The following is a 24,333-nucleotide window of genomic DNA, read 5'->3' as shown; positions in this document are numbered from 1 at the left end:
TATGCCGGGTGCTGTAGCTCATGTCTGTAATCACAGTACTTTGGGAGGCCAAGGTGGGAGGCTTGCTTGAGGCCACGAGTTCGAGACCAGTCTGGGCAACATAGAAAGACTCCATCTCTGCAAAAAAGATAGCCAGGCTTGGTGGCGTGCATCTGTAGTCCCAGCTACTCGAGAGGCCGAGGCAGGAAAATCGCTAGGACCCAGGAGCTCAAGGTCCCAGTGTGTTACGATCTGCACTCCAGCCTGGGCGACAGAGGGAGACTGACTCCAAATGAAACCAAAAAAAAAAAAAAAAACAAACAAAAACAAAAACAAAAACACACCTAAATTGGAGTTTAACGGAAAACTTTTAACTTTCTCCAGCACTCCTGCTAAGCATCACACTTCTCTCTGCTTGCTGGTACCCTGGCTGACGTCTGAGCAGGATGGGACGCGCGGCTCAGAGCCTAAGATAAACCGAAAGTGTCTACAGGGCTTTCTACCAACAAATAAGCTCTGACGGGTTCCTTTGATGAGGTTTGGGAGGCAGGTCCCGGGAGGTGCCCGCGGACTCAGCCCCGAACTCCGGGACCTGGGCTCTGCGATCCTTGCAGAGGGCATGGGCAGGGGCAGAATGGAGAAGTGCAGGACGGGGAAGCCTGGGAGCTGGGTGGGGGCGGCCACCCATTGAGCCGGATCCGGCCAGGCGCCCACGCTGCGCCCCGCCCGCGGGGCTGCGCTTTCCCGGGCTGCGGCCGCAGGGCTGGTCAGTCCGGCGCTCCCGGGTCCCAGGCCCGGAAGGAGCTAACGGGCTATTCGCAGGCGGGCTGGGATTCCCCCGGGGGAGGCCCCACTGCCCGGCCCGCGTCATCCCCGCCCATCTCCACGGGCCGTCGCGGGATAGCCCCCTGCAGGAGCGGGCAGGGTAGTGGGCGGCGCTTGGCGGAGGGCAGCACGCTCGGGGCGCGCGGGGACTGCGGCCGAGGGGAGGAGAGGGCGGTGCGCGGGCGGGGGCGGGGCGAGCGAGGGCATATCAGGGCAGCCCGCCCAGGCCACGCCCCATCCAGGCCTCGCCCCGTCCGCACCCCGCCCCGGCCCTGCCTAGAACGGCGGGACCACGGTGACTGACAGGACTCCAGACCAGTCACCACGCGCCTCGAGGCCCCGAGAGGCTAGTCGGGGCCGAGCCAGCGGAGGGGCTCCTGAAGGGGCGGGGGCGGGCGGGGAAGCCGTTCGGCGAGGGGCGGGGTCTCTGGAAGACTGGCAGAACTCACAGCCAATGGCAGGCGGGAGCCGTCCCGTTAGCGCCGGATCCCCGCGGGTAGGGCGGGGCGGGCGGCGCCGTGGGGATCCCGGGGCAGCCGAGGGCCCCTGACTCGGCTCCTCGCGGCGACATGGATCGGATGGCCAGCTCCATGAAGCAGGTGCCCAACCCACTGCCCAAGGTGCTGAGCCGGCGCGGGGTCGGCGCTGGGCTGGAGGCGGCGGAGCGCGAGAGCTTCGAGCGGACTCAGGTGAGGACGGGGGACCCCGGGGCATCCCTGGGGCACCCTGAGGGACGCGGTGTCCGGGAGGGGCTTTGAAGGGAGTAGGAGTCTTGCAGGCCCCAGTTGAAGACGGGGCGAGGGTGTAGTGAGCGGGGGCATTGACGTGCAGATCTGGGCGATCCCAGGAAGGTCGGGGACCCCAGGGTACCCCAGCTGGCCTGGGGAGAAGGGCAGAGGCGGGCTCGGAGGAGATGGCAGGATGCGTGGCCAAGAGGAGCCTGATCGGCTGGGTACCGGGCAGGAGTCCCAAGATGAGGTGAGAGGGGAAGGAACTGAAAAGGGGCGGAATGGAAGGGTTGCCCCTAAACAAGGGAAGCGCACGGGAGCCACTTGGAGGCTCAAGTGTGGGGGCGGAGAGTGGGGGCGCCGGGCTGGGAATGTGAAGGGTGAGGGGACCTCTCTTCCCCTCCGATCACTTCTTGGTTGCATTGACATCCCTTCCCACCCCCCACCCCTTAGCATCCCCCTTTCTCGATGCCTCTTGCTTGGCTCTGGCCAGCCCCAGCTGTCAGCTCTGAGGCCGGGCGGAAGGGGTCGGAGCAGGGAAAAGGAATGTAGGAAATGCAAAGTGTGGCCACTTTGTGGGAAAATTACTTTGGGGGCTAAAGTGGAGACCATGGTGCCCCTGAGCCCTGACTTGGGGTCTTGGTTTTATCCCCCAAGATGTGCCTGACAGCTAATAGGCAGACTGCCCTATTTGTCCTGCCTGGCCAGGGCTTGGGGCCAAAATTCCTCAGTGTCATCAACAAAAAGCCACAATCCATTTTTTTCTCCGAGTTTTTAATGCCTGGTGTATTGATTGGGCTGAATTAAGCTGACATGTTGATGGTGTTCATCAATTCATTTGTATGTAAAATCCATTTCAAAGAGTACAACGCTTCTTTTAATCCCAGTGCCAATGCTGGAGGGGCAGATTTCTTCTACACTCTTGTGCTCAGAGTGGAACCTTTGAAGATCCATTTGGGTCCCCCTCTCCAGAGGCTGGTCCCCTGATGTGTTATGCGAGGAATACTTCCCCCAAACACAGTTGGAGGGAAAGGGCTTTGGGATTTTAGTTAGAAAAGACAGTGAGAATCTGACTGAAGGTTCTGTATATGGAATCTTTCAAAGAATAGAGCTTTTGGCCGGGCGCGGTACCTCACACCTGTAATCCCAGCACTTTGGGAGGCCGAGGCGGGTGGATCACCTGACGTCAGGAGTTTGAGACCAGCCTGGCCAACATGGTGAAACCCTGTCTCTACTAAAAATACAAAAAATTAGCTGGGCGTGGTTGCAGACGCTTGTAATCCCAGCTACTTGGGAGGCTGAGGCCAGCAGAATTGCTTGAATCTGGGAGGTGAAGGTTGCAGTGAGCCGAGATGGCGCCACTGCACTCCAGCCTGGGCAACAAGAGCGAAACTCCGTCTCAAAATAATAATAATAAAAAAGAATAAAGCTTTTCACCCCCAGAGGACTTCATCCCCTCTTCTTATTCTGAAAACCTTTGGCCCCCCACCTGGGCAACATAGTGCGACCCTGTCTCTACAAAAAATAAAAAAATTAGGCTGGGTGCATTAGCTCACACCTGTAATCCCCGTACTTTGGGAGGCCAAGGTGGGAGGATCACTTGATCCCAGGAGTTCGATACCTGCCTAGACAACACACTGAGATCCCGCCTCTATTTTGAAAAAATTTTAAAATTATCCTCGTGTGGTGGCATACACCTATAGTCCCAGCTGTTTGAGAGGCTGAGGCATGAGGGTCACTTGAGCCAGGAGGCTGAGGCTGCAGTGGGCTATGATCGTGCCACTGCACTCCAGCCTGGGTGACAGAGTGAGACTCTATCTCTACAAAAAAGTGAAAAAAAGAAAGAAAACCGCGCGCAGGTGTGTCTGGATAGTGTGAAGCAGTGGGACCCTGTCTCTACAAAAAAAAAAAAGAAAAAGAAAAAAAGAAAGTGCCTCCATGCAGGTGTGTCTGGATGGTGTGAAGCAGGGAGTCTTCTCTACCTGGTTATCCTACCCCAGGAGGGAAGTGGGAAATGGTCATTTCACTTCTGCCTCCCAGGATCCAGCTAGGTTTGAGGCTTGTTCTCTGGTTTCATGGACCCGACCCCTGAAAAGAAGGAAGTTTTCCATTGGTCTTGGATGTTAGTGCCTCTGCTAGCTGCCTAGTTACATGAGGCTTCTTGCTCCATGAAACAGTGTGTATATTCCTTTTATTTTTATATTTTCATAGAGATGGGGGTCTCACTGTGTTGCCCGGACTGGTCTCAAACTCCTGGCGTCAAGTGATTCTTCTGCTTCTGCCTCCCAAAGTGCTGGGACTACAGGCATGAGCCATGGCACCCAGCCCTATTTTTTTTTTTAATAAATGAAATAAGAAAATAAATAGATATTATTTTTTAACAACCCGTTCCTTCTAGAGTCTCAAATAAGTAAAAACTAGAGCAATAGAGAAATATGCGTAAGACTTTGACCCATAATAGTGATAGAAATTAGGTTTGTGAAAGTTTCCACCCGTGAGTGGTATGTTTCCCTGCTATCCAGGGACGGCCCAACAGGAGAGTCTAGGTCAGTGTTTTCTGGTGTTTTACATTCTGTGGGACATTTGTGATTGGCCAGATTTGACCTGGGTGGGGTGGGTGGGGGTGAAGTAGAGTGGAGCAGAAAAAGAGAATTTTTCTGATGTTGAAACTCTTATTTTTAACTTTTTTTTTTTTTAAGACGGAGGTCTCACTGTGTTTTCCCAGGCTGGTCTTGAACTAGCCTCAAGCGATCTTCCCACCTCAGCCTCCCAAAGTGCTGGGATTTCAGGTGTGAGCCACTGCACCCAGCCTCTGGTGTTGAAACTCTTTAGGGGTGTAGGAGAGTAAAGAAAAAGAACCAGCCTGGACAACATAGTAAGACCCCATCTCTACAAAAAATAAAATTAGCTGGTTGTGGTATCACGTGCCTGTTGTCCCAGTAACTTTGGAGGTTGAGGTGGGAGGATTGCTTGAGCCCGGGAGGCAGAGGTTGCAGTGAGCAAAGATTGTGCCACTGCATTCCGGCCTGGGCAACAGAGTGAGACCCCATCTCAAATAAAAAAAAAAGAAAAAGAAAAAGAAAAGAAAAGAAAAGAGAACAGCCCTAAACCCAACGTTAGTCAATCTGCAAAAAAATTATTTTGTTTAATGACTACCTATCAAATGTATTATGAGGTTGCAGAGCTTGGTAAGCAAAGGGAAAAAAGGGGAAGAATGTATTATGAGATATAAAAAATGAATTAGAAAAAATTTAATGAGTTAGGAGACCATGAGAATCAGCCAAGGTATAATAATAACTAACTAATTATTGTGTTTGGCAGTATTCTAAGGACATCATTGTATTACCTTTTTAAATCTTGACAAGAACGGATGAGGTGGGTATCAGCCACATTTTACTCTCAGGACGATTGAGGCACAGAGAGGTTAAGTAACTCACCAGAAGTCACACAGCTGGAAACGGTCTCAACCTTTACCCACTGCCTCAGGCAGCCTCTGAGTACTGAGCAGATGCTGGCATTGGAGTTAGAAGGCATTTGAGGCTTACAGCTGGGCATGTACATGGGCCTTGTGGTCTCTGGGAAGTTGTCTAACCTTTCTAAGCCTCGGTTTCCTTATTGTCAAATAAACATAATACTTACCTGGCTGATTTATTGTGGGGATTCAATTAAGCCCAATATGCCTGAAGGCATTTTGTAAACTGTGGAGCACTAGTTCAGTGATTATTGTTATAATCTGACTGGGGAGACGAACCCGAGACAGCAGAAGTGTGAGCAATCAAGCAGGCTGTGATTAACTCTTCCTTAGAGGGATAGATGTGGTACTAGGTAATGGGATAATTACCAAGAGCACGTGGATAAAGCACAGGCTTTGGGGTTGGGAGCCCTCCCCGAGGACTGAAGCACATCTTGTAGCATGAGTTAGTGCTTGCTGGGTGGAGGAGGGGATGGGGCATTCCAGTGACAGAAGAACATAAATAAAGAGACATCTAGACTAGGCAGATAAACTTCCCAGCGGGTGCAGTGGAGACTCATTGGCTGGGGTAGACAGAGAGGCAAAATTGGCCACTCCCTCCTCTGAACTATAGCAGGGCTGGTGACCTCTCCTAGTTCCTGTGACCTTGTGCTGGCATCATTTCTCTCTGTGGCCCCCATTGAACACTGAGCTTATTGAGGGCAGGTCTGTGTCTTGCTCTTGCCTGCATCCTGAAGCTCATGGTTAGTGGTGAATGGGGTCAGCAAGGGAACCCTGGGCCTAGGTGGGTAGTTCAGCCCTGGGCCACAGGATATATTAATAATTACTTTATTTATTTTTATGTAAGAGATGGTCTCGCTCTATTGTCCAGTCTGGAGTGCAGTGGCACCATCATAGCTCAGTTTTGCCTGGGACTCCTGGGCTCAAGTGATCCTCCTGCCTTAGCCTCCTGAGTGCTGGGACTACAGGAGCATGCCACCATGCTTAGCTGATCTTTAAAATTTATTTATTTATTTATTTATTTATTTATTTATTTATTTATTTGAGACAGAGTCTCACTCTGTTGCTCAGGCTGGAGTGCAGTGGCGCCATCTCGGTTCACTACAACCTTCGCCTCCTGGGTTCAAGTGATTCTCCTGCCTCGGCCTCTCGAGTAGCTGGGATTACAGGCGAGCGCCACCACGCCCGGCTAATTTTTTGTATTTTTAGTAGAGACAGGGTCTCACTTGTTGACCAGGCTGGCCTCGAACTCCTGACCTCAGGTGAGCCGCCTGCCTCAGCCTCCCAAAGTGCTGGGATTACAGGTATAAGCCATCGTTCCTGGCCTAGAATTTTTTTTGTAGAGATGGGGTCTTGCTGTGTTGCCCAGGCTGGTCTTGAACTCCTGGGCTCAAGCAGTCCTCCCGCCTTGGCTTCCCAAAGTGTTGGGATTACAGGTGTGAGCCGCCGTGCCCGGCCTATAATTACTTGTTTTCTTATAATGCTCCAGGGTCGCTGTTGGTCTAGCCTTGCCTCCCGCATACCCAGTCTAGAGCCTGGCCACATGCCCATCAAAAGACTCTCACTGCTCTGCCTGCCTTCTTCTGTCCTGGCGTCTATACCCTCAGACCAGCCTTGCATACCTACTCCTGCCAGCCTCCTCCAGGAAGCCTTGCCTCCTCAACTCTCCTGCACCATCCTCACATTTCACCTGGCCACTGTCACTGCCAGAGGAGGCACCACTGACCTGCCTCATGGCCCAGCCACTGCACCCATCTCCAACCAGACCCTTGGTGTGTTCCCCACCCAATCCATCACAAGCCACTTTCAAGCTTTAGGGAAGTGAAAAGTACTGCCTGCCCTCAAAAAAAAAAAAAAAAGAAAAAGAAAAGAAAGGAAAAGAAAAGAAAACCCAGCCGTAATAAGGAGACCTTATCAGGAGTACTTTACAGTTTATAAAGCATGTTTCTAGCCATCATTGGGACCACACGGTGGTCAGTCATTATCATTTTCATTTTATGGATGAGGACATCGTGACTCAAAGAGCTTGGTAACGTGCCCAGGGTCATCCCACGGGTGAGTGGAAGGGCCAGGATTCAAAACCAGGACTCCAGGTTCCAAGTGTCAGGCCCGTTCGACCACACTGTCCTCCCACCAGCCAAGAGGGCAATTCTGGAATCAGCCAGGAGGGCTGTCAATCACAGGACAAATAAAATAGTCTGTTTTTACTTAGCTGGAAAATGGTTTTCTCCATGGTTTGTTTATTTCTTCAACATCCGTTTAGTGAGCACATACCGTGGAGGAGACACAGAGATGAGTAAGATAAAGAGACCGGCTCTGGGGGGCTCGTGAGTCAGCAGGGAGGCAGACTGGCCACTGCGGGGCTCCTGGACAAGCCTTGGGGCTCTGATGTGGTCAGGCCCCGAAACACCAGCATCACCAGGGCCATTAGGATGTTGGGCACCACCCAGAACTACTGAATCAGGACTTGTCGTGTTCACCACAGCCCTGGGTACTCTGTGTACGCTGATGTTTGAGCAACAGTGCTCTGTAGTAGGTGAGTTCTGGGATTAGAGGAAAAGACACAGAGTGGGGAACAAACCTTTAGAGAGTCAAAATCTCTTTGGGTGAGCCGGGCGCAGTGGCTCATGTTTATCATCCCAGCATTTTGGGAGGCTGAGGCGGGAGGATGGCTTGAGCCCAGGAGTTCGAGACCAGCCTGGGCAACATAGCGAGACCCTGTCTCTACAAAAAAATCAAATCAAATCAAATAATTAGCTGGGCATGGTGGTGCTGCCTGTAGTCCCAGCTACTCGGCAGGCAGAGACAGGACGATTGTTTAAGCCCAGGAAGTTGAGGCGGCAGTGAGCCGTGATCACACCACTGCACTCCAGACTGGGTGACAGAGCCAGACCCTGTAAAAGGAAAAACAACACAAAAAAAGCCAGAAACAAACAAAAAAAGTCGGTGGATAGCGCATACGTCAGAGCAAAGGATCTTAATGCATCCTGCGTTGAGAAGAGCCTTAGATCCTAGAGAGAAAGAGATAGAAACAAATATTTATTGAGGGCCTGCTGGGTACCAGGAACATGCTGGGTGATTTATATCTATGATTTCATTTTAATAGCTCAGGCTCAGAGAGGCTAAGTGACTTGTCCAAGGTCACACAGCGAGTGAACCGAGAAGCCAGGACTTCACAACCAAATGGCAAAGTCCTTTTTTTCATGTTTACGTTGCGGGTACTTCTGCCCTCTTGCTCATGATCTTAAGCAGATGCTCAGCCTTAGTTCAGCAGCTAAAAAATTTTAGGGCTGGGCTAGAAGGATCTGCGGTTCTCAACCCTGGCTGGAGAGCTCTTTGAAAAAATAAAATACTGTTTCTCTGGGCCCCCTGCATAAGGATTCTGTCTCATTGGTATGGGGTGATCATTGACATTTTGTAAAGTCCCAGGTGGTTCTCATGTGCAATCAAGATGGTGACCGTGGGTCCTGATGGGTTCCCACACCCCTGGCACCCCACGGACTTTGGGTGGCTCAGTTGGTTCTGGTTATACTCAGAAAACCAAGATGGCCCTAAGCCTGCTTCCTGCAGGTAAGAAGCATCTGTGTCAGGTTTGTTCTTTAGGAATGCAAATGCTCAGAGCCAGGCTGTGTAGCACCCTGAGCCTTGAACCTGGCGCCCCACCCCTTCTGCTTCTGGAGCAGGTGCACAAAGAAGTCACCCCTTGCCTGAAGTCTGAGCAGGTGCCTTCTTGCAAGGAGAGCTGCTCGTGAACCCCATTTTTCCATTTACTTGACAATCAGAGCTGGCGTTTTTTTTTTTTTTTTTTTTTGAGTTGGAGTCTCTGTCACCCAGGCTGGAGTGCAATGGCGCCATCTCGGCTCACTACAATATGTGACTCCTGGGTTCAAGTGGTTCTCTCACCTCAGCTTCAGGAGTAGCTGGGATTATAGGCGTGCGCCACCATGCCCAGCTAATTTTTGTATTTTTAGTAGAGACGGGGTTTCATCATGTTGGCCAGGCTGGTCTCTAACTCCTGACCTCAAGTGATCCGCCCACCTTGGCCTCCCAAAGTGCTGGGATTACAGGCGGGAGCAACTGCGCCTGGCCCAGAACTGGCTTCTTAAACTTCTGTACCCTTCTATCTCCCCAACCTTGCTCCTTTAGTGGGTATTGAAAACTTAAGAAGGAAGTTAAGAGCTTTCTTTTGGTCCCTGGTTTTGTACTGTCCTGAGTTTCTTCCCAGTGATGGTAATGGTAATCGTCAACATTTACTGACCAGGCATGGTGGCTCATGCCTGTAATCCTGGCACTTTGGGAGGCTGAGGCGGGCGGATCACTTGAGGCCAGGAGTTCGAGACCATCCTGGCCAACACGGTGAAACCCATTCTCTACTAAAAATATAAAAATTAGCTGGGCGTGGTGGTGCATGCCTGTAATCCCAGCTACTCGGGAGGCTGAAGCAGGAGGATCGCTTGAACCCGGAAAGTGGGGAGGTTGCATTGAGCCGAGATCACACCACTGCACTCCAGCCTGGGCAACAGAGAAAGACCTTGTCTCAAAAAAAAAAAAAAAATTACTGCCCACATACTGTGTGCAAATGGTAAAGGCCTTACATGAGCCACCCTTTTCGATCCTTGCAACACATGTATGAATTATAATTCCTATTTTAGGCTGGACACGGTGGCTCACACTTGTAATCCCAGCACTTTGGGAGGCCGAGGCGGGTGGATCACCTGAGGTCAGGTGTTCAAGACCAGCCTGACCAACATGGAGAAACCCTGTCTCTGGTAAAAATACAAAATTAGCTGGGCGTGGTGGCGTGCGCCTGTAATCCCAGCTACTTGGGAGGCTGAGGCACGAGAATCACTTGAACTCGGGAGGCAGAGGTTGCAGTGAGCTGAGATCGCGCCATTGCACTCCAGCCTGGGCAACAAGAGCGAAACTCCGTCTCAAAAAAAAAAAAAAATCCTATTTTACAGAGGAGGAAATTGAGGCTTTCAGGGGTTGATAGCTATGCTCTCTGTTTGTCCTTCTGTCACTGCCTGGCACCCTCTGCTCTCTTCCTCCTTATGCTTGGGGTCCCCAAGGCGTTGTCCTCACCCCACTTCTCTTTTACCTCCTGTCCACTTCCTTTGCCCTCACCTCTGTCTGATGGTTTCTGTTCTCACTTCTGTGGCACTGACTCCCCACATCTCCCTCCTGACTTCCCAGCCTGAGTGACCACTTCCCACTGGACAACTGTACCCCCTCGGGCGGCCCCATGGCAGGACAATGGTCCCCACCTTCTCTCTGGTGTCAGTTCTGAGCCCTCCCTCCTTCCTGCCCTCACAGCCGCATTCTGTTGAGTGCCTCTGTGAGACTTGTCTCACCCATTCATCCTGTGAATCTTGCATTTCCTGCTCTTATTACATCTTGCCTGGATTTTTGTCATCTCATCCTGCCTGCCCTCTAAATCACCTGTTCTGGACAGTGTCCCTCAAATCCAACACTGTGATTTTTGTTTGTTTGTTTGTTTTGTTTTGAGACAGAGTATCGTTCTTGTCAACCAGACTGGAGTGCAGTAGCGCGATCTCGGCTCACTGCAACCTCTGCCTCCTGGGTTCAAGCTATTCTCCTGCCTCAGCCTCCTGAGTAGCTGGGATTACAGGCGCCTGCCACCATGCCCAGCTCATTTTTGTACTTTTAGAAGAGACTAGGTTTTGCCATGTTAGCCAGGCTGGTCTCGAACTCCTGACCTCAGGTGATCTGCCCACCTCAGCCTCCCAAAGTACTGGGAATACAGGCGTGAGCCATTGCGCCCGGCCGCTTTTTTGTTTTTTAAGAGATAGAGTCTTGCTGTGTTGCCCAGGCTGGAATGCAGTGATGCGATCATAGCTCACTGCAGCCTCGAATTCCTGGGCTCAAGTGATTCTCCCACCTCAGCCTCCTGAGCAGCTGGGACTACAGGTATGTGCTGCCACACCCAGCTAATTAATTTTTTTTTTTTTTTTTTTTTTTTTTTTGCAGAGACAAGATCTCACTACGTTGCCCAGGCTTGTCTCAAACTCCTGGCCTGAAGCGATCCTCTCGCCTCAGCCTCCCAAATTGTTGGGATTATTGAGTCACTGCACCTGGCCCAACAATGCTTCTTCTTTTTTTTTTTTTCCTGTTCTAGTTTCTTATTTTTATTCACTTGTTAGAATTTTGGTTTTTTTTTTTCTTCTGTTTCCTCTACACTTTTTTTCCTCAACTTTTAAGTTCAGATGGTACATGCGCAGGCTTGTTACATGGGTAAACTGCATGTCACTGAGTTTTGGGGTATGAATGATCCTGTCACCTAGGTAGTGAGCATAGTACCCCATAGGTAGTTTTTCACCCCACTTCCCCCCACCATACTCCCCCTTCACTGACAACTACTTTTATAACTGCCCTTTTTCAAAAACTTTTGCTGCCTTCTCTGAGACCCTGCCTGATATGGCACCATCAGGGTCCCTCGTCCCTGGTCCCTGGTCCCTGTCCTTTTTTTTTTTTTTTTTTTTTTGAGACAGAGTCTCGCTGTGTCTCCCAGGCTGGAGTGCAGAGACCCCATCTCTGAAAAAGAAGATTAAAAAAAATAAAAATAAAGGGTTGGTGCTGCACGTTAAGAAGGATGGGGCGTGTCCCTATGGCCCAGGAGATCAGATTCCCTGCCCCACTTGGGCACTGAAAGGGTTCCCCCTCTGGCACTTCTGCAAGGCACTGATGAAGACTGTTTTCTGCTCCCCATTCATTGGCCCACTTATTCCACTGCCTCAAGGCGAGGTGTGGCGGAGACCTGGGTGTGGCAGCGGGCACAGCCTTGTGCAGTGGGCTGGCAGCCAGCTCTCCTCCTGCATCAAGGAGGGTTGATGACCTGGAGAGATGCCCACCTGGGAAAGAGAACTTGTCAGCCCCACCTCCCGGCAGGGTGGTGGCTGTTTCCTGTTTTCCTGCCTGGGCAGCCAGGGAGGAGCTCTGTTCCCAGTGTGTGGGCAGGACTTGTGAGGGGAGAGGGACCGTGATTTAAGGTGTCTGCTGGCTCAGAGGAAGAGAGAATGGCATCTTTTCTTGGATCAGAAAGGTTGCTGCTGCTGCCTCTGCTAATACTGCCACAAGACAGCTCAGGAAGCCAGTGTGGCCTATGGCTTGTGTTTAACACAAGTAACACTATCGTTTAAAGGCATGTTGACACATTACTCCTTTGAAGCCACAGAGCAAGCATGCAGTAGATGGTTGTGGTCAGTTTTCAAATACAGACACTGAGGCTCAGAGAGATTAAAAGACTTGTTTGAGAGCACTCAGGAAGTGGCAGAACTGAGGTTTGAACCTGGCTTGTCTGGCCCCAAATTTTATACTTTCTTTCTGTATCTCCCTTTAAAGCGGAAGCCGGGTCAGTGGCTTAGATATGTGTGACTTAGAAAAGGTACAGACATTTATTTTGCTAAGTTTTTTTTTTTTTTTTTTTGAGATGGAGTCTCGCTTTGTCACCTAGGCTGGAATCCAGTGGTGTAATCTCAGCTCACTGCAACCTCCTGCTCCTGGATTCAAGCAATTCTCCTGTCTCAGCCTCCTGAATAGCTGGGACTACAGGCACATGCCACCATGCCCGGATAATTTTTCTATTTTTAGTAGAGACGGGGTTTCACCATGTTGCCCAGGCTAGTCTCGAACTCCTGACCTCAGGTGATCCACCCGCCTGGGCTTCCCAAAGTGCTGGTATTATAGGCGTGAGCCACTGCGCCCAGCCTTATTTTTCTAAGTCTTTTCTGGTTGACTTATTTGGACACTGAAAATTCCTCCCAGAAGAAAATATTTGCAACACACATAATTATCAAAGGGCCTATATCCAGAATATGTAAAAAATTTAAGAGAAACAAACAAAAAACTTTAAAAAAAAAAAAAGAAAGAAAGAAAAGGCCAGGCACTGTGGCCCATGCCTGTAATCCTAGCACTTTGGGAGGCTGAGGTGGGCGGATCCCTTGAGCCCAGAAGTTCGAGACCAGCCTAAGCAACATGGTGAAAACCCGCCTGTACAAAAAATACAAAAACTTAGGTGTACATCTATAGTCCCAGCTACTCGGCCTAGGAGACTGATGCCAGGGACCTGGGGAGGTCAAGGCTGCAGTGAGCCATGATCACACCACTACACTCCAGCCTGGGTGACACAGTGAGACCTGTGTCTCAAAAACAAACAAAAAGACAAACTTAATTTAAAAAAAAATAAGCAGGAGATACTTAATGAAAGGGGATAAACAAATGGCCAATAAACTTATGAAATGGTGTGCAGCTTCATTAGCAATCAGGAAAATGCAAATTAACATTTAATAAGGTACTGGCCAGGCACAATGGCTCACACCTGTAATCTCAGCACTTTGGGAGGCTGAGTTGGGCAGATCACCCGAAGTCAGGAGTTCGAGACCAGCCTGGCCAACATGGTGAAACCCCATCTCTACTAAAAATATGAAAATTAGGCAGGCATGGTGGGGCGTGCCTGTAATCCCAGCTATTTGGGAGGCGGAGGTTGCAGTGAACCGAGATGGAGATCGTACACTGCACTCCAGCCTGGTGGACAGAGCGAGACTCTGTCTACCAAAAAAAAAAAAAAAAGAAAAACATTTAATGAGATACCTCTACATGCCCATCAGGATGGCTGAAATTAAAAATATTAAAAAAAGAAAACTTGACAGTGCCAAGCATTGGCAAGGACGTGGGGTGATAAAAATGCCCGGCCAGGCATGGTGGCTCATGCCTGTAATCCCAGCACTTTTTGGAGGCCAAGGTGAGCGGATCGCGAGGTCAAGAGTTCGAGATCAGCCTGGCTAACAAGGTGAAACCTTGTCTCTATTAAGAATACAAAAAATTAGCCAGGTGTGGTGGCATGTGCCTGTAGTCCCAGCTACTCTGGAATCTGAGGCAGGAGAATCGCTTGAACCCGGGAGGCAGAGGTTACAGTGAGCCAAGACCGAACCATTGCACTCCAGTCTGGGAGACAGAGCGAGACTCCGTCTCAAAGAAAAAAAAAAAAATGCCCAGGCACTGCAGGTGGGACTGTAAACTGGGGCAACCACATTGGATAATGTCTAGTGTTATGCTAAAACTAAAGACAGGCATCCTCAGTAATTTAGCCATACCACTGCTAGTTATATATCCAACAGAAATGCAAGCACAGCTGGGCGCGGTGGCTCACGCCTGCAATCCTAGCAGTTTGTGATAACAAGGCAGGCAGATCATTTGAGGTCAGGAGTTCCAGACCAGCCTGGTCAACATGGTAAAACCGCGTCTCAGCTAAACTACAAACAAACAAACGAACAAACAAACAAACAAAAACTGGGCATGGTGGTACATGCCTGTAATCCCAGCTACAGGGAGGCTGAGGCAGGAGAATTGCTTGAATCCGGGAGATGGAGACGCAGTGAGCCGAGATTGTGCCACTGCACTCCAGCCTGGGCAACAGAGTGAGACTCAGTCTCAAAAAAAAAAAAAAAATGCATAGCACATGCACCCACAGACATTTAGAAGAATATTCATAATCATATTTTATAATAGTCCCAACCTGCAAACACACCAAAAGCCCGTGAACAGTAGATGGATGTATACATAATATAGTCTTTCATCAGAATACTATACACCCATGAAAATAAACTTTAGTTACATTCAACAACACGGATGAACGCTGCAAACAGAATGTTGAGTGAAGAAAAAGGCAGACACAAAAGGACATTTTCTGTATACTTCAATTTGCTTGCTTAGATAGTAAAACTGTAAAGAAAAAAGGAAGTGATTCTCATAAAAGACCAGTAAAAGTTATCTTTGGGTGCAGGGGAGGTTGGTGATTGGGAGGGTGGGGAAAGGGAGTTTCTGAGACCCTGCTAGCGTTCTGCTAGCCTCGGTAATGGTTTTTGATAATTCATTAAGCAATACGGTTTTGTGCAGTGTTCTTTATATTTCAAAATACAAACTTAAAAGAAAAAAACAAAAAACTCCTAGCTGGGCATGGTGCCGCATGCCTGTAATCACAGCACTTTGGGTGGCTGAGGCGAGAGGATCACTTGAGGCCAGGAGTTTGAGACCAGCCTGGGCAACATAGTGAGACCCTGTCTCTACAAAAAGATTTTTTTAATTAGCCAGGTGTGGTGGTGCATGCCTGTATTCCCAGCTACTAGGAAGGCTGAGGTGGGAGGATCGCTTGAGCCCAAGTTGGAGGCTGCAGTGAGCTATGATGGCACCACCGTACTCCAGCCTGAGTGACAGAGTGAGACTCTGCCCCTAAAAACAACCAACACAACAGAACTCCCCCCACAGAGTCAGAGTAGGAGACAGTGTCTAAGAACCTGCCCCTTACCCTGTTGATGCATCCTTTGAGGTCTCTCTCAAATTCTGCCTCCCCTCGGAAGCATTCCCAATGCTGCCCTAGAATTGGGGAGCGTTTGATTTATGAACCACGCATCTGCAAGCAGCATCTTCCTAGAGCTGCTGTAACTTGCAGCCAGGAAATTGAGCCCTGTTGTTAGCCAGACTCAGAGTGTTGCTATTCCACATGCCCAAGTTGTGGCTTCCATTCATTCGTGTCTTGTGTCTACCTTCCTTACTGGCACACAGGCCCTAAATTTCTCATTCAACTTTTAGTATATTGCCCCAGCATCTAGCAGAGGGCTTTATCCCAGCTAAGGCTGAGGATGTCTGTTAAATAGAAAATAAATTAGTGGCGATGGCTAGGCATGGTGGCTCACACCTGTAATCCCAGCACTTTGGGCAGTTTTTTAGGCTGGGTGCAGTGGCTCACATCTGTAATCCCAGCACTTTGGGAGGGCAAGGCGGGCAGATCACCTGAGGTCAGAAGTTGGAGACCAGCCTGGCCAACATGGCAAAACTCTGTCTCTACTAAAAATACAAAAATTAGCCAAGCATGGTGCCGGGTGCCTGTAATTGCAGCTACTCAGAAGGCTGAGGCAGGAGAATCGCTTGAACCCGGGAGGCAGAGGTTGCAGTGAGCTGAGATGGCACCGCTGCACTCCAGCCTGGCGACAGAGTGAGACTCAGCCTCAAAAAATAAAAATAGGCTGGGCGCGGTGGCTCACGCCTGTAATCCCAGCACTTTGGGAGGCCAAGGCGGATCACCTGAGGTCAGGAGTTCGAGACCAGCCTGGCCAACATGGTGAAACCCCGTCTCTACTAAAAATATGAAAATTAGCTGGGTGTGGTGGCTCACAACTGTAATCCCAACTACTCAGGAGGCTGAGGTGAGAGAATCGCTTGAGCCCCGGGGGCGGAGGTTGCAGTGAGCTGAGATTGCACCACTGTACTCCAGCATGGGTGACAGAGCGAGACTCTGTCTCTCTTTCTCTCTCTCTCTCTCTCTCTATATATATATAAATGATAATAATAATAAAAAAATTAGCCGGGCGCACTGACACACACCTATAGTCCCCGCTACTTGGGACGCTGAGGTGGGAGGATTGCAGAAGGACCTTCAGAACAGGAGGCCTTCTACATGGCAGAAGGGACTTTGCAAATGTAATTAAGGATCTTAAAGCAGGGAGGGTCTTGGATGATCCAGGTGGGCCCAGTCTAATCACATAGATCCTTAAAAGCAGAGTAACTTCTCTAGCTACAAGCACAAGGGAGTTTCCCAGCATGAGAAGGGTTTCATGCACAGCTGCTAACTCTGAGATGTGGGAGGACCAGAGGGAGGCCTCTAGGAGCTAAGGGTGGCCCCTGGCTGAGACCCAGCAAGGAGACGGGGACCTCGGGCCTGGCACTGCAAGATGTCGGATTCCACCAACAACCTGAATGAACTTGGAAGCAGATTTTCCCAGGCCCTCCAGGACAGAAGACAGGGCTGTTGATGCCCCAATTTTAGCCCAGTGAGACCTGTTGCATTCTCACCTACAGAACTGTAAGATAATAAATGGCTGGGTTTGTTTTTTGTTTTGTTTTCTGAGATGGAGTCTTGCTCTGTCGCCCAGGGTGGAGTGCAATGGCGCGATCTCGGCTCACTGCAACCTCCGCCTCCTGGGTTCAAGGGATTCTCCTGCCTCAGCCTCCTGAGTAATTGGGATTACAGGGACGCACCACCACACCCAGCTAATTTTTTGTATCTTTAGTAGAGATGGGATGGGGTGTCACCATGTCGGCCAGGCTGGTCTCGAACTCCTGACCTCATGATCTGCCCACCTCGGCCTCCCAATAAATGGCTGTTGTTTTAAGCTGCTGAGCCTGCAGTAATTTGTTACAACAGTGATAGAAAATGAATACAGGATAACAGGTAACTCCTGCTTCAGGGCAGGAGGCCTGATGGGTCCCATGTCTCGCTGCATAGACAGACAGGCCACCCTTTCAGACCTACAGGAATACTTGTCGTTTCATTGGTGCTTGTCGTGGCTGCAGATCAAACACTGGATTTACACCCCTGGCACTCATGCACAAAAGTCTTATCCTGGAAAAACAATTCAGCAGCCTGTTCAAAACATTTTTTTTCCTGCTGAGCCATGGAGTTCTTTGTTGCAATTCCAAGTTTGGGGATCACAGATATAATTTACTTAACCTTAAAAAAAATTTTTTTTTATCAAGTGCTATGCTGTCTATTAGAAAAAGGAAAGTGAGAAATCCCAGTGCAACTGTAGGGTCATGATGGCATCTCTGCTGGAAAGAGAGCTTACAGCTAGGAAATGGAACGGGAAGTAAATAGGTGCTTCCCCCAGGGTAGGCCTGCCGCATCCGGATACTTACTCAGGCTCATGGTGGTGGTCTGGAATGTCCCAGCATTCTGGGTTTGGCTGCAGAGGAGCCAAGAGCTCCCAGAGCACTGGATTAGGAATCGGGAAGTCTTACTTCTCCAAGCTGTGGCTGTCTCTGATCTGCCTGGTCCCTGCCCACTATAACTATAGGTCTTCAGTCTGGCTCTGTAATGAGGGGTGTTGGATGAGATTGTCCCAGAGGCTTACAGACTTAGTGATTCTGTGAAAGTGCAGTTATTACTATTTTTTATTTTTATTTTTTTAGAGACAGGGTCTCACTATGTCGTCCAGGCTGGAGTGCAGTGGCATAATTACGGTTCACTGCAGCCTCAAACTCCTGGGCTCCAGCAATCCTCCCACCTCAGCCTCGCAAGTAGCTGGGACTACACATGCACACCACCATGCCTGGCTAATTTTGAACGTTTTTCTTAGAGACGTGGGGGGGTCTCACTATGTTGGCCAGGCTGGTCTTGAACTCCTGGCCTCAAGTGATCCTCCTGCCTCCGCCTCCCAAAGTGCTGGGATTACGGGTGTGAGCCACCACGCCTAGCGTGCAGTTATTGAAGCAGCAGCCTGTCAGTTACACTGTCAGTTACACTAGTGAGGTAGCAGCCCTGTTGGAGCCCACTGCCTTTTGACACCTGGCCCTTGTTAGGCTAGCTTTGCTGTCCTGATTCTTAGCTTGCACATGGGATCCTGTTTGCCTCTTCCCTCTCTATGAGACCCTCTCTCCTGGTTAACAGTGGCTGCACACAGCTTCTGTGGGTAACTTCTGCATTGATCACATGGGCCTTTGCCCCCCCAGAAGAACTGGTTTCCCAAAGTTATTCACCCAGATAACTTACCCAATAAGGAAGACTTTTTGCAATTAGTTACTTCTGCCCACTTACCATCTTCTGTCCTCTGCTTAGGGCTCCCAGGTACAGTTGCACAGGCTGAGCGTTGCACAACTTTGGGAGTGTCTTTGGATCCTGGCCTTCCCAGTAGGCCTAGCTTGTAGCATATAACAAAAATAATTCTCCAGAAAAACTTTTTTTTTTTTTTTGAGACAGGGTCTTGCTGTGTCACCCAGGCTGGAGTGCAGTGGTGTGAACATAGCTCACTGCAGCCTCGAACTTCTGGGCTCAAGCCATCCTCTTAGAGCCTCCTGAGTAGCTGGGACTACAGATGTGTGGCACTATGCCCAGCTAATTTTTTTTTTAGATAGAGTCCTGCTCTGTTGCTCAGGCTGGAGTGCAGTGGTGCAATCTCGGCTCACTGCAACCTGCACCTCCCAGGTTCAAGCAATTCTGCCTCAGCCTCCTGAGGAGCTGGGATTACAGGCACCCACCATCATGCCTGGCTATTTTTTATATTTTTAGTAGAGATGAGTTTTCACCATTTGGGGCAGGCTGCTCTCAAACTCCTGACCTCAAGTGATCCACCCGCTTTGGCCTCCCAAAGTGCTGGGATTACAGGTGTGAGCCACCGTGCATGGCTGTGACCAGCTAATTTTTTGATTTTTTATAGAGATGAGGTCTTTTTTTTTTTTTTTTGAGATGGAGTTTTGCTCTTGTTGCCCAGGCTGGAGTGCAATGGCCCGATCTTGGCTTACCGCAACCTCCGCCTCCCAGATTCAAGCGATTCTCCTGCCTCAGCCTCCCTAGTAGCTGGGATTACAGGCATGTTCCACCACACCCAGCTAATTTTGTATTTTTAGTAGAGATTGGGTTTCTCCATGTTGGTGAGGCTGGTTTTGAACTCCCGACCTCAGGTGATCCGCCCACCTCGGCCTCTCAAAGTGCTGGGATTATAGGCGTGAGCCACCGCACCCGGCTGAGATGAGGTTTTGCTATGTTGCCCAGGCCAGGAGAAAAACCTTTTGACACTAAATCAGAGGCCACATGGAGTGTCTGAATATCATGCCATTGCAGTAAACCTGTGCCCCAAACGACTAAACCTGTTTGACATAGAGAAAGTTAGACCTGGCAGGGACCTGAGAGATTATTTAATAAGTGATTGCAGGCTGGCAGCCACAGATATGTTTCTTTAACTTCTTTTAGAAGTGGGGGTCAGCCTTTAGAGCCAGAGTAGGCTCAGAGAGATTCCCTTTAACTTTTAAGAAGAAACTTGAGGCTGGGCATGGTAACTCACGCCTGTAATCCCAGCACTTTGGGAGGCCAACGCGGGCAGATCACTTGAGGTCAGGAGTTTGAGACCAGCCTTACCAACACGGTGAAACCCCATCTCTACTCAAAATACAAAAATTAGCCAGGCATGATGGCAGGCACCTGTAGTCCCAGCTACTTGGGAGGCTGAGGCACGAGAATCGCTTGAACCCAGGAGGCGGAGGTTGCAGTGAGCCAAGATCACACCACTGCACTCTGGCCTGGGTGACAGAGCGAGACTCTGTTTCAAAAAACAAACAAACAAACAAACAAAAACAAAACAAAACAAAAAACTTGAAACCTGTAGCCAGTGCATAAACACATTGGTTTGCCAGAGTCCCCACCACTCTCTATCGTCTCTATCGTCTTCCACCAGCTTCATGCACTGAGCCTTATTTTCCCAGTTCCTGGAGTTGTCTAATGTGTGGTCTCTGATTTAATCCAGTTTCCTAGAGGAAGCCGAGGATTAGAAAAGGCAAAATAACTCCCCTAGGGTCCATGCCACAAGTAATAGTCCAAACCTGAGGGAGACCCAGCCTTGTGTCTGGGTCTAGGTTGTGTCTAAAGACTGGAGTGGTTCTGAGCCTGGACTTTGGAACCAGACAGTTTACCTGCTATGGGTATCAGGCAGACTGTTTTACAGAGAGGATGGCAGACATGGGTCAATCTGAATCCATTCAGTAGAGATCCATTAAAAGAGCGTGGAGGGCCAGGCGTGGTGGCTCATGCTTTAATCCCAGCACTTTGGGAGGCCAAGGCGAGTGGATCACTTGAGCCCAGGAGTTCGACACCAGCCTGGACAGTATAGGGTCATGGAAAGGATTAAACGATAGAAAGCATGAAAAGTCCTCAACATTGTGCCTGACATGTATGTGAGCATTGAGAAATACCAGCTCCTATTAGTCTTCTTTTTTTTTTTTTTTGAGATGGAGTCTCGCTCTGTCGCCCAGTCTGGAGTGCAGCGGCATGATCTCGGTTCACTACAAACTCCACCTTCCGGGTTCCCGCCATTCTCCTGCCTCAGCCTCCTGAGTAGCTGGGACTATAGGTGCCTGCCACCTTGCCTGGCTAATTTTTTGTATTTTTAGTAGAGACGGGGTTTCACCGTGTTGGCCAGGATGGTTTTGATCTCCTGACCTCATGATCCGCCCGCCTTGGCCTCCCAAAGTGCTGGGATTATAAGCATGAGCCACCACGCCCGGCCTAGTCTTCTCTTACTAGTACTTAGTAACATCTAAGATTCTTTCTCTTTAATTTTTATTAATTTATTAAATAGAGACAGGATCTCTCTATGTTGCCCAGGCTGGCCTTGAACTCCTGGGCTCAAGCGATCCTCCCACCTCGGCCTCCCAAAGTGCTGAGATTCCAGGTGTGAGCCACTGTATGAGGCCAGCTCTAAGTGTTGGGGGCTAGGGTACTCTTTGGCACAGATGTTGGAAAAGTAGATTAATGCATCCTTGTCTCCGGGTTTATCTGCTCCCTGATTAGGCCTGAGTTGAGGGATATCTGGGCAAGGATATATGGTGGGAACTCCCTGAGTTTGCAGCTGTGTAGTTTTGGAGAGTGGCGAGCAGAACCACGGAAAGAATTACTGGGAAATGTCAGGAGGTGCTTACCTGGACTGTGACCCGCCTTTGTTGAGGGCCTTGGGAGAACTGCGTGCTTGGAGCAATCTGTGTGTTTCTGGTTCTGTGACCTCAAGAAAGACATTATGGCACAAAGCCAGCTCAGAAGTGACAACTAAAATGATGAGGGATGCAGACAGAACTATCCAGTCTGGAAAAGCAAAGGCTGGAGAGCAAGGGTAGAGATAGGCCAGGAAGAACGTTGGCTCCAAGTCGGAGGACTGGCGTTTGTGTCTGCCTGTTATCAGTTGCTGATCTTGATTTGTTTGTTTTGCGTTTTATTTTCATTAAAGGTATACATGTACAGAGTTACCAGAACCGAATAGTTATACAGGCTTGTTACCAAAAAACAGCATTCTCTCAGCCTTTTTCTCCTTCTCCAACCATTTTTTGATTCCCAGAAACAACCAGGTAATCAGCTAATCTTTTTTTTCTTTTCTTTTTAGAGACAGAGTCTTCCTCTATTGCCCAGGCTGGAGTGCAGTAGTATGATCATACTTTACTGTAACCTCTAACTCTTGGGCTCAAGCGACCCTCCCACCTCAGCCTCCCACATAGCTGGGACTACAGGAGTGTGCACCACCATGCTAAGCTAATTTATTTTTATTTATTTATTTTTAATTTTATTTTTTTTACCATAAGGCTTCCTTGCAAAACTAATCTAATTTTTAAATAATTTTTTTTAGAAATGGGGTCTCGCTATGTTGTCCAGCCTGATCTTGAACTACTGGCCTCAAGCAGTCCTCCTACATCAGCCTCCCAATGTGCTGGGATTACAGGTGTGAGCCATCATGACTGGCCCCAGCTAATTCTTTTTTTTTTTTTCTTTTTTGAGACAGAGTTTCGCTCTGTCACCCAGGCTGGAATGCAGTGGCGTGATCTCAGCTCACTGCAGCTTCCACCTCTGGGTTTAAGCAATTCTCATGCCTCAGCCTCCTGAGTAGCTGGGACTACAGATGCCTGCCATCATGCCTGGCTACTTTTTGTATTTTTAGTAGAGATAGGATTTCACCATGTTGGTGAGGCTGGTCTCAAATTCCTGACCTCAAGTGATCTGCCCACCTCGGCCTCCCAAAGTGTTGGGAGGACATGTGTGAGCCACCGCGCCTGGTCTTTTTTTTTTTTGTATTTTTAGTAGAGACAGGTTTCACCATGTTGGCCAGGCTGGTCTTGAACTCCGGACCTCGAGTGATCTGCCTGCCTTGGCCTCCTAGAGTGCTAAGATTATGGGTGTAAGCCACCACACCGGGCCCCGGCTAATTCTTTTAACTGCTATAGTTTGTAGCCATTGTTATGAACCTGCCATTATGGAAGATAAAGATCCAACATTCACTTACTCAAATATCCCCTCACTTCCCATGACAAATATTTTCCCCTGTCCCCACAGAGTTTTAACTCTGTGTTCACTGTTGACTTTATCATGACTTTCTAAGTGCTATAGGGGCAGCTGAGTTCCTTGTGTACTTGGAATCCTTTTCCTTTCCTGCACACATTTTTGTTATTCCTGGAGTAACTGTCTTTGTTTGGTTGGGTTTTTGTGTATTTATCACCAATGATCCATCATTCTCCCGTCGGTCTGTAATTGCCACTTAATACCATAGGCATTCCATCAATATCAATTTCATCATGCGTGGGTCAAGTGAGACTGCACATGGGCAAGGGCTTTGTAAGAAGTCAGGAATTGGCCGGGCATGGTGACTCATGCCTGTAATTCCAGCACTTTGGGAGGCAGGGGCGAGAGGATTGCTTGAGCCCAGGAGTTTGAGACCAGCCTGGGCAATATAGTGAGACCCCATCTCTACAAAACAAAATTTAAAAATTAGCTGGGTGTGGTGGCATGCGCCTGTAGTCCCAGCTACTTGGGAGGTTGAGGTGGGAGGGTCGCTTGAGCCTGAGAGATTCGAGGCTCCAGTGAGCTATGGTCACACCACTGCACTCCAGACTGAGTGACAGAGTGAGATCCTTTCCCCCCCCCTAAAAAAAAGCTGGGCGTGGTGGTTTATGCCTGTAATCCCAACACTTTGGGAGGCTGAGACGGCAGATCACAAGGTCAGGAGATTGAGACCATCCTGGCTAACACGGTGAAACCCTGTCTCTACTAAAAATACAAAAAAATTAGCCGGGCATGTTGGTGGGCGCCTATAGTCCCAGCTACTCGGGAGGCTGAGGCAGGAGAATGGTGTGAACCCGGGAGGCGGAGCTTGCAGTGAGCCGAGATTGTACCACTGCACTCCAGCCTGGGTGACAGAGCGAGACTCCATCTCAAAAAAAAAAAAAAAAGTCCAGGCACGGTGGCTCATGCCTGTAATCCTAGCACTTTGGGAGGCTGAGGCGGCGGATTGTCTGAGCTCAGGAGTTCAAGACCAGCCTGGGCAACTTGGTGAAACCCTATCTCTACTAAAGTACAAAAAATTAGCTGGGCATGGTGGTGTGCTAATCCCAGCTACTTGGGAGGCTGAGGTGGGACAATTGCTTGAATCCAGGAGGTGGAGGTTGCTGTGAGCCAAGACTGTACTACTGCACTCCAGCCTGGGCGACAGAGCAAGACTGTCTCCAAAATAAAAAAAAAAGAGAAGTCAGGAATCGTAGATTGGTGATGATTGTTTTTGTCTGGAACTTTCCATACTGGAAAGTAATTATAGGGTGATGTGGTTTGGATATTTGTCTCCACCAAATCTCATGTTGAAATGTGATCCTAGATGTTGGATATGGGACCGAGTGGGAGGTGTTTGGGTCACGGGGGCGGATCCCTCATGAATGGCTTGGTGCCCTCCCCGCAGTCATGAGTGAGTTCTCATTCTGTTAGTTCATGTGAGAGCTGGTTGTTTAAAAGAGCCTGGC

General features: G+C 49.4%; 1 protein-coding gene across 3 annotated transcripts in view, besides 3 other annotated features; it reads left to right on the top strand.

The window, feature by feature from the left end:
- Nucleotides 576-1,565: a silencer, noted in NCBI's record as "silent region_18299". NCBI's record gives its function as "represses an Ori minimal core promoter by ATAC-STARR-seq in GM12878 lymphoblastoid cells {active_cell/tissue: GM12878}" and the evidence as "EXISTENCE:reporter gene assay evidence [ECO:0000049][PMID:35858748]".
- HIP1 (huntingtin interacting protein 1) overlaps nt 1,353-24,333 on the top strand; it is a 205,644-nt gene continuing 182,663 nt past the window's right edge. For all 3 annotated transcript variants that reach the window (NM_001243198.3, XM_011516116.3, NM_005338.7), the window contains exon 1: nt 1,353-1,493. In NM_001243198.3, coding sequence (NP_001230127.1) covers nt 1,374-1,493 — 120 coding nt within the window. In that variant the 5' untranslated portion in view covers nt 1,353-1,373. The remainder of the gene's footprint in view (nt 1,494-24,333) is intronic.
- Nucleotides 10,046-10,547: an enhancer, noted in NCBI's record as "H3K27ac hESC enhancer chr7:75359065-75359566 (GRCh37/hg19 assembly coordinates)". NCBI's record gives its function as "activates a minimal SCP1, AML or CMV promoter by ChIP-STARR-seq in primed H9 embryonic stem cells {active_cell/tissue: H9 hESC(primed)}" and the evidence as "EXISTENCE:reporter gene assay evidence [ECO:0000049][PMID:30033119]".
- Nucleotides 16,719-16,868: an enhancer, noted in NCBI's record as "active region_26180". NCBI's record gives its function as "activates an Ori minimal core promoter by ATAC-STARR-seq in GM12878 lymphoblastoid cells {active_cell/tissue: GM12878}" and the evidence as "EXISTENCE:reporter gene assay evidence [ECO:0000049][PMID:35858748]".

The sequence above is a fragment of the Homo sapiens genome, chromosome 7, assembly GCF_000001405.40.
Source record: "Homo sapiens chromosome 7, GRCh38.p14 Primary Assembly".
Classification (NCBI taxonomy): domain Eukaryota; kingdom Metazoa; phylum Chordata; class Mammalia; order Primates; family Hominidae; genus Homo; species Homo sapiens.
Note: the sequence above shows the minus strand (reverse complement) of the source record. Positions and strands in the feature narration are given on the sequence as shown.